We start from the raw sequence: 10,377 nt of genomic DNA, 5'->3' as shown, positions 1-10,377 counted from the left end.
TCTCTTGTTCATCTTCCAGTGCTTATATCAAAGCCAAACCAGGAGTCAGTCTCCAGGACATTCTGACTTCCACATGAGACATAATAACAAACTTAGAACAGTACAAGAATTCTAGCATGTGCCTCCATTCCCTTCCCTGAGAATTCACTTTCAGAGCTGACTTTATTTGCTAATGCATGATGGACTCATTTGCTCTGCTAAAATCAAGTATTGGAACAAAAACAAAATACTCACTCAAATAGCTAAACTGCATGCCCTCCCAAAAGAAAGAGTAGGTTAAGCAGACATTTCCCTTATATTTCTATGACGTTTGGGTGGTTTTCCAGGGCTAGCTGAGAAAATGCTGTGTCACCGACTGATCCCTTCCGATATGCCTTTTCCAATCATGATGAAGAAGACCTCTCAGTTTGGGGCTGGCAGTTTAATCTGAGATAGAGCTGGACATGGTGCCTCATCTATCCCTCACTCCCAAGTGTAAGACAATTGAAACAGTACATTCGAGCGTAGGAGATTTTGTTAAAGATGTGGGCGTGGAAAGTTTGTTCCCCAAGATTTCTTTGATCTCCGGGAGGCTGAGACAGGAGAATCACTTGAACCCAGGAGGCAGACGTTGTGGTGAGCCGAGATCGCGCCATTGCACTCCAGCCTGGGCAACAAGAGCGAAACTCCGTCTCAAAAAAAAAAAGATTTCTTTGATCTCGTAACCTGGAGGAGAACCACAAGCCTTCACTCCACAATAGCCCAGCCCAGCCCACTTCTACCTTGCTAGTTCCCAACAGTCCTCTCCCATGTTCTATCCTCTTCCCTCTACTCACTATCTGGTTTTTCAAAACAAACAAAATTTCTTTCACAAAGAAATTTAACAGTCATTTTTTCTTGCTTAGGTTTCTGCTGATACTTAAATTCTTGGAGTCCCATCTCTGTTTCAACAGTCATTTTAAATCTGCTTACAAATACACATATTTCCCTTTCTATCAGAAATTTTGGGACAAGACACTAATACATATAACTTTTTTTGGCATTTTTATAATATGCCAGCCCAATAACCGTTCTGCTACAAGTAAAAAAGGAAACTGTATAAAACCTGTGAGAGTTCCAAATAGTGCACAGACACAGTTGGTTTGGAAACTCTACAGCAAAATAGATGACACATACACACACAAAAAAAACAGAGGCATGCAGCTTAAATTAAATTATGTATTTGGAGGACTCTGAGGTTTAGGTACCAAGGTTTTATATTTTTAATCAGGCTCTTCATTAGGAAAAATAGCTAATGCATGCTGGGATTAATACCTAGGTGATGGGTTGATAGGTGCAGCAAACCACCATGGCACAGATTTACCTGTGTAACAAACCTGCACATCCTGCACATGTACCCTGGAACTTAAAAATAAAAATTAAAAAAATTAGGCTCTTGTTCTGCTAGAATGGAAAAGGAGTGGATCTTAGAAACAAGTCTATTATGGGGCCAAGCACAGTGGCTCAACATCTGTAATCCCAACACTTTGGGAGGCCAAGGCAGGAGGATCACTTAAGTACCAAAGTCCCATTTGTCTATTTTTGCTTTTGTTGGGTGCATTGCTGAAGTCTTACCCATAGAATATTTGCCTAAACCAATGTCCTGAAGTGTTCCCCCATGTTTTCCTCTAGTATTAATAGTTTTATGGTTGCCTGGCACCATTTATGAAGAGGGTGTCCTTTCTTCAATGTATGTTTTTGGTCTCCTTGTCAAAAATAAGTTGGCTATAATATGTGGATTTATTTCTGATTTCTCTCTTCTGTTCTACTGGTCTATGTGTCTGTTCTTATTGTCAAGTCACTTTTTAGAAATCTAAAATTTAATCCATTTCACATAAGTGACATCAGGGTAAATTCCTCATGAGCAAAAGTTTCAAATGTTCCAATTTGTGATCTGAGGCTACATATTTTAGTGTTCAGTGCTTTTCTCTTCCTATTCTCTCTAATCCTTTGATTTTATAATTTGGGTGCAAGTCACTCTTACCCACTGGAGTAAGTCCTACTGAGGGCAGTGGTTGTGTCTAATTAGTCTTCATACCCTCAGCATCCAGCCCAGGGCTGTGCACACAGAGCGTTGCTCTCCTTACACACACTTGAATATGGTTCATTATTTTCGTAACTTGCAGGTCATGCCTCCGTTCTATATGAGACTAAGTAACCCCAGCTGAATCAATGGATCTCTGCTGCTGTGTACCCTACAGCATACTGCCTGGAGTTCTTTATGTAAAAAGCAGCTTAATATAAAAATATACCATACCTGAAATTCAGAGTCTTCTTTATGTAAAAAGCAGCTTTATATAAAAACATACCATACCTGAAATTCAGAATCTGTTCATGGGATTCTTCATATTTGGGACAATCTTTGAAACACTAAGCATACATACATAAGTTATTGTATAATAATACTAAATTATGAATTAATTTGTTCTGTGACCATCTATTAGAAGGATACAAGGATTCCATAGACTACAAACCAAGTAAACTGGAAAGTGGAAATGTTGCTTCTGTCTACCCACCATTTAAAAGAAAAAGTCCCTAGAAAATTTTTCAAGCAGTCTCATGTAAAAACCAAATGCACAAAAACTGTTCCCACCTCATCGTAATAAACAGAAAAGAGCAGTTTTCTTAACATCTAGGCTATCTCCCAAAAATGAAGAACTAGTCCCTGCTTCCACTTTCAATCTGACATGTGTTCAAAATAAAAACAGTTTCAAGTTGTTCTGAATTGATATCAGAAATCCTTCACTCACAACAAAAAGTGGAAGAGAGCCTGAGACTTTTCATTTATAAGTACTAATCAGACTTCACAGTTAGAAAGAGTAAAGAGAGAGACATATAGCACCAGAATGTTTCAGTCCACCTTGGCAGAATATAGAACCACCTACGAACCCAATTTGATCCTCTTAAACACGCCGATTCATCATTTGAAGAAACCTCAAATCAATCAACTGTCAGGGCCTTGTGGCCTGATAAACTGGTATTAAAAAGCCATTAAACAGCCGGGCGCAATGGTTCACGCCTGTAGTCCCAGCACTTTGGGAGGCTGAGATGGGCGGATCACCTGAGGTCAGGAGTTTGAGACCAGCCTGGCCAACGTGGTGAAACCTCGTCTCTACTAGAAATACAAAAATTATCCAGGCATGGTGGCACATGCTTGTAATCCCAACTACTCGGGAGGCTGAGGCAAGAGAATCGCTGGAACCTAGGAGGCAAATGTTGCAGTGAGTCGAGATTGTATCCTGGGCTACCGAGCTAGACACCGTCTCAAAAAATAAAAATAAAAAAAAGCCATTAAACATATTTAAACTGTATTTACTAGTCTTTAAAATGCAAATAATACTACCTACATCATAAGCCTGTACTGAAGAATGGAATTAACTAATAACACCTGTAAAGAATTTAGCACAATGACTACCATGTAGTAGATACCAAATGCATTTTCCTTCTATCTAACTCAGGCTTCATCGCCTCAAGGAAGCCTATATACTACAAGATAAAAATGTGGCGGCACTATTCACAATAGCAAAGACTTGGAACCAACCCAAATGTCCAACAATGATAGACTGGATTAAGAAAATGTGGCACATATACACCATGGAATACTATGCAGCCATAAAAAATGATGAGTTCATATCCTTTGTAGGGACGTGGATGAAATTGGAAATCATGATTCTCAGTAAACTATCACAAGGACAAAAAACCAAACACTGCATGTTCTCACTCATAGATAGGAATTGAACAATGAGAACACATGGACACAGGAAGGGGAACATCACACTCTGGGGACTGTTGTGGGGTTGGGGGAGGGGGAGGGATCGCATTAGGAGATATACCTAATGCTAAATGACGAGTTAAAGGGTGCAGCACACCAGCATGGCACATGTATACATATGTAACTAATCTGCACATTGTGCACATGTACCCTAAAACTTAAAGTATAATAATAAAAAAAATTTTTTAATAAAATAAAATAATCATTATTTACTAAAAAAAAAAGATAGTTATCTAAATATATATTCTTTTTGAGTTGAAATGTTAAAACTGCTTATTTAGAAAACATGTCATTTTATACCTATTAATGGAGGTAAGATTAAAAATACTGATTCCACCTGGTGGGGGAGGAGGTGAAAGACGTGATAAACACTTGAAGGAGTGGGAGGGACTGCATATATTTACAGAGGAAAATTCTATAACATATCTCAAAAATCTTGAAAATGAGCATAACGAACCAACATGTTCACTTCCACAGTTTTGATTTATTCAATTAACAAATACTTATTAAAGGCTCATTATGTGTCAGGCACTGATTTGAGGTGCTAGAGAGGATTAAGCAGTTAGACAAAAAATATCTGCCTTCAAGGGACAAAACATTCTAGCAAGTAATAAACAAAAATGTAAAACATACAGAATATCAAATAACCACAACTGTCATGAAGAAAAGTGAAGCAGCGATAAGGGAGCGAAAGAGCTGTCAATTTAGAATATAGCAATTTGACACAGGGGAACAGAAATAGCATCAATGAGGTGGCAGTTCAGGGAAGACCTAAAGTAGTAAGGGGGGAAGTCGCCTGGATATCTGGAGAAACAGCATAAGTAGCAAAAGGAACAGCAGGTGTATAGGCCTAAGATATGAACATGCTCAGCATGTTTGAGAGAGGCCAGGAGGGACAGGTTACAGAGTGGGTATACCAATCCCATAAACCCTGTAATCTCTTATGCAGATACAGGTTTATTACCTAATACAACATGCTATAAGCCTGAGATGAGTCCAGGCCTCCTTTGAACTGCCCAGCACTGCCACAACTGAGATGAGAAGAGAGTTTGACAGAATGAGTCAGTGCATCACATGCATCTGATACAGTTCACCCCTTCACCACTCTGATCACTGTGCCCTACATTAAACTCAATCCGTTGTCAATTCTTCATGTTAGTGACCAGCTGCAATTTATACAGGACCTAACACACAGGAGTTAACAGCACACGCCCCAGACTTCACTCCTGCAACTTGTCTCAAGGCCATAATTGATATTCATCATCTCTCTCTTCTACCATCCATTCCAGATTTTCCTCTCCTGGTCATTGCCAAAAGCAGTTATCCCATTTAGACTTTTTTTTAACTTGAGCTGTGTGCTTAAAGCACTCCTTCTATAAGACTAACACAAAAAGAAAACATAACTTGAAAGAAACAGAATTATTCAACAACTTCAAGAAACTCACCTTATTCTCTGGTGAAAAATTGAATGATTTCCGTAATACAAGACATAATCTGAAATTAAAAAAAGAAAAACGAGAGAGCTACATGGAATGAGTACCATACGACACAGTCTATTTACTTATAAATGATTTCTAAAAAGTGCACGCGAAGAAGTTCCATTCCAAGATGGCCAAATAGGAACAGCTCCAGTCTACGTCTCCCAGCGTGATCAGTGCAGAAGATGGGTGATTTCTGCATTTCCAACTTAGATACATGGTTCATCTCACTGGGACTGGTTGGACAATGGGTGCAGCCCACAGAGGGCGAGCTGAAGCAGGGCTGGGTATTGCCTCACCTGGGAAGCGCAAGGGGCCAGGGGGTTTCCCTTTCCTAGCCAAGGAAAGCTGTGACTGGCTGTACCTGGAAAAAATGGGAAACTCCCACCCAAATACTGCCTTTTCCAATGGTCTTAGCAAACGGTACACCAGGAGATTATATCCCGCAGCTGATTCCGTGGGTCCTATGCCCATGGAGGCTTGCTCACTGCTAGTGCAGCAGTCTGAGATTGACCTGCAAGGCAGCAGCCTGGCAGGAGGAGGGGCATCCACCATTGCTGAGGCTTGAGTAGGTAAACAAAGTTGCTGGGGAAGCTCAAACTGGGTGGAGCCCACCACAGCTCAACAAGGCCTGCTGCCTCTGAACAAAAGTCAGCAGGAACTTTTGCAGACTTAAACTTTCCTGTCTGACAGCTCTGAAGAGAGCAGTTGTTCTCCCAGCATGGTGTTTGAACTCTGAGAACGGACAGACTGCCTCCTCAAGTGGGTCCCTGACCCCCGTGTACCCTAACTGGGAGACACCTCCCAGTAGGGGCTGACTGACACCTCATACAGCCAGGTGCCCCTCTGGGAAGAAGCTTCCAGAGGAAGGATCAGGCAGCAGTATTTAGTGTTCTGCAATATTTGCTGTTCTGCAGCCTCCACTGGTGACACCCAGGCAAACAGTGTCTGGAGTGGACCTCCAGCAAACTTCAACAGACCTGCAGCTGAGGGACCTGACTGTTAGAAGGAAAACTATCAAACAGAAAGGAATAGCGTCAACATCAACCAAAAAAAAAAAAAAAAAAAAAAAAAAAAAAGGACATCCACACCAAAACCCCATCTGTAGGTCACCAACATCAAAGACCAAAGGTAGATAAAACCACAAAGATGGGGAGAAACCAGAGCAGAAAAATGGAAAATTCTAAAAACCAGAGCACCTCTTCTCTTCCAGAGGATCACAGCTCCTCGCCAGCAAGAGAACAAAGCTGGACGGAGAATTACTTTGACAAGCTGACAGAAGTAGGCTTCAGAAGGTTGGTAATAACAAACATCTCTGAGCTAAAGGAGGATGTTCGAACCCATTGCAAGGAAGCTAAAACCCTTGAAAAAAGATTAGACGAATGGCTAACTAGAATAAACAGTGTAGAGAAGACCTTAGATGACCTGATGGAGCTGAAAATCATGGCACGAGAACTATGTAACACATGCACAAGCTTCAACAGCTGATTTGATCAAGTGGAAGAAAAGGTATCAGTGATTGAAGATCAAATTAATGAAATAAAGTGGGCAGAGAAGTTTAGAGAAAAAAGAGTAAAAAGAAATGAACAATGCCTCCAAGAAATATGGGACTATGTGAAAAGATCAAATCTATGTTTGATTGGCGTACCTGAAAGTGACAGGGAGAATGGAACCAAGTTGGAAAACACTCTTCTGGATATTATCCAGGAGAACTTCCCCAACCTAGCAAGGCAGGCCAACATTCAAATTCAGGAACTACAGAGACCACCACAAAGATACTCCTTGAGAAGAGCAACTCCAAGACATGTAATTGTCAGATTCACCAAGGTTGAATGAAGGAAAAATGTTAAGCACAGCCAGAGAGAAAGGTCAGGCTACCCACAAAGGGAAGCCCATCAGACTAACAGCAGATCTCTCAGCAGAAACTCTACAAGCCAGAAGAGAGTGGGGGCCAATATTCAACATTCTTAAAGAAAAGAATTTTCAACCCAGAATTTCATATCCAGTCAAACTAAGCTTCATGAGTGAAGGAGAAATAAAATTCTTTACAGACAAGCAAATGCTGAGAGATTTTGTCACCACCAGGCCTGCCTTACAAGAGCTCCTGAAGGAAGTACTAAACATGGAAAGGAAGAGCTAGTACCAGCCACTGCAAAAACATGCCAAATTGTAAAGACCATCAATGCTAGGAAGAAACTGCGTCAACTAACTAGCAAAATAACCAGCTAATATCATAATGACAGGGTCAAATTCACACAGAACAATATTAACCTTAAATGTAAATGGGTTAAATGCCCCAATTAGATGACACAGACTGGCAAATTGGATAAAGAGCCAAGACCCATCAGTGTCTTGTATTCAGGAGACCCATCTCCCATGCAGAGACACACATAGGCTCAAAATAAAGGGATGGAGGAAGATCTACCAAGCAGATAGAAAGCAAAAAAAAAGCAGGGGTTGCAATCCGCATCTCTGATAAAAGACTTTAAACCAACAAAGATCAAAAGAGACGAAGAAGGCCATTACATAATGGTAAAGGGATCAATTCAAAAAGAAGAGCTAACTATCCTAAACATATATGCACCCAATACAGGAGCACCCAGATTCATAAAGCAAGTCCTTAGAGACCTACAAAGAGACTTAGACTCCCACACAATAATAATGGAAGACTTTAACGTCCCACTGTCAATATTAGACAGATCAATGAGACAGAATGTTAACAAGGATATCCAGGACTTGAACTCAGCTCTGCACCAAGCGGACCTAATAGACATCTACAGAACTCTTTACCCCAAATCAACAGAATATACATTCTTCTCAGCACCACATCCCACTTATTCCAAAATTGACCACATAATTGGAAGTAAAGCACTCCTCAGCAAATGTAAAAGAACAGAAATCACAACAAACTGTCTCTCAGACCACATTGCAATCAAATTACAACTCAGGATCAAGAAACTCACTCAAAACCGCACAACTACATGGAAACTGAACAACCTGCTCCTGAAAGACTACTGGGTAAATAACAAAATGAAAGCAGAAATAAAGATGTTCTTTGAAACCAATGAGAACAAAGACACAACGGACCAGAATCTCTGGGACACATTTAAAGCAGTGCATAGAGGCAAATTTATAGCACTAAATGCCCACAAGAGAAAGCAGGAAATATCTAAAATTGAAACCCTAACATCACAATTAGAAGAACTAGAGAAGTAAGAGCAAACACATTCAAAAGCTAGCAGAAGGCAAAAAATATAAGATCAGAGCAGAACTGAAGGAGATAGAGACACAAGAAACCCTTCAAAAAATCAATGAATCCAGGAGCTGGTTTTTTGAAAAGATCAACAAAATTGATAGACCCCTAGCAAGACTAATAAAGAAGAAAAGAGAGAAGAATCAAATAGACGCAATAAAAAATGATAAAGGAGATATCACCACCGATCCCACAGAAATACAAACTACCATCAGAGAATATTATAAGCACCCCTAGACCAATAAACTAGAAAATCTAGAAGAAATGGATACATTCCTGGACACATACACCCTCCCAAGACTAAACAGGAAGAAGTTGAATCTCTGAATAGACCAATAACAGGCTCTGAAATTGAGGCAACAATTAATAGCCTACCAACCAAAAAAAGTCACGGACCAGAAGGATTCACAACCGAATTCCACCAGAGGTACTAAGAGGAGCTGGTACCATTCCTTCTGAAACTATGCCAATTAATAGAAAAAGAGGGAATCCTCCCTAACTCTTTCTATGAGGCCAGCATCATTCTGATACCAACGCCTGGCAGAGACACAACAAAAAAAGAGAATTTTAGACCAATATCCCTGATGAACATCGATGCGAAAATCCTCAATAAAATGCTGGCAAACCGAATACAGCAACACATCAAAAAGCTTATCCTCCATGATCAAGCCAACTTCATCCCTGGGATGCAAGGCTGTTTCAAAATACGGCAATCAATAAACATAATCGATCACATAAAGAGAACCAACAACAAAAACCACATGATCATCTCAATAGATGCAGAAAAGGCCTTCAACAAAATTCAACAGCCCTTCATGCTAAAAACTCTCAATAAACTAGGTATTGATGGAACGTACCTAAAAATAGTAAGAACTATTTATGACAAACCCACAGCGAATATCATACTGAATGGGCAAAAACTGGAAGCATTCCCTTTGAAAACTGGCACAAGGCAGGGATGCCCTCTCTCACCACTCCTATTCAACATAGTGTTGGAAGTTCTGGCCACAGCTACCAGGCAAGATAAAGAAATAAAGGGTATTCAATCAGGAAAAGAGGAAGTCAAATTGTCCCTGTTTGCAGATAACATGATTGCATATTTAGAAAACCCCATCATTTCAGCCCAAAATCTCCTTAAGCTGATAAGCAACTTCAGCAAAGTCTCAGGATACAAAAATCAATGTACAAAAATCACAAGCATTCCTATACACCAAGAACGGACAAACAGAGAGCTAAATCGTGAATGATCTCCCATTCACAATTGCTACAAAGATAATAAAATACCTAGGAATACAACTTACAAGGGATGTGAAGGACCTCTTCAAGGAGAACTACAAACCACTGCTCAATGAAATAAAAGAGGATACAAACAAATGGAAGAACATTTCATGCTCATGGATAGGAAGAATCAATATCATGAAAATGGCCATACTGCCCAAGGTAATTTATAGATTCCATGCCATCCCCATCAAGCTACCAATGATTTTCTTCACAGAATTGGAAAAAACTACTTTAAATTACACATGGAACCAAAAAAGAGCCCACATTGCCAAGGCAATCCTAAGCAAAAAGAACAAAGCTGGAGGCATCATGCCACCTGAATTCAAACTATACTACAAGCCTACAGTAACCAAAACAGCATGGTACTGGTACCAAAACAGAGATACAGACCAATGGAACAGAACAGAGGCCTCAGAAATAACACCACACATCTAGAACTATCTGATCTTTGACAAACCTGACAAAAAGAAGAAATGGGGAAAGGATTCCCTATTTATTCCCTATTAATAAATGGTGCTGGGAAAACTGGCTAGCCATGTGTACAAAGCTGAAGCTGGATCCCTTCCTTACATCTT

At 40.1% G+C, this 10,377-nt stretch overlaps 1 annotated feature.

Annotated features, from left to right (window-relative positions):
• Positions 9,239-9,740: an enhancer, noted in NCBI's record as "NANOG hESC enhancer chr1:89496021-89496522 (GRCh37/hg19 assembly coordinates)". NCBI's record gives its function as "activates a minimal SCP1, AML or CMV promoter by ChIP-STARR-seq in primed H9 embryonic stem cells {active_cell/tissue: H9 hESC(primed)}" and the evidence as "EXISTENCE:reporter gene assay evidence [ECO:0000049][PMID:30033119]".

The sequence above is a fragment of the Homo sapiens genome, chromosome 1 (assembly GCF_000001405.40).
Source record: "Homo sapiens chromosome 1, GRCh38.p14 Primary Assembly".
NCBI classification, from domain to species: Eukaryota; Metazoa; Chordata; class Mammalia; order Primates; family Hominidae; genus Homo; species Homo sapiens.
The sequence above is the reverse complement of the archived record's forward strand: the minus strand, read 5'-3'. Positions and strand labels throughout refer to the sequence as shown.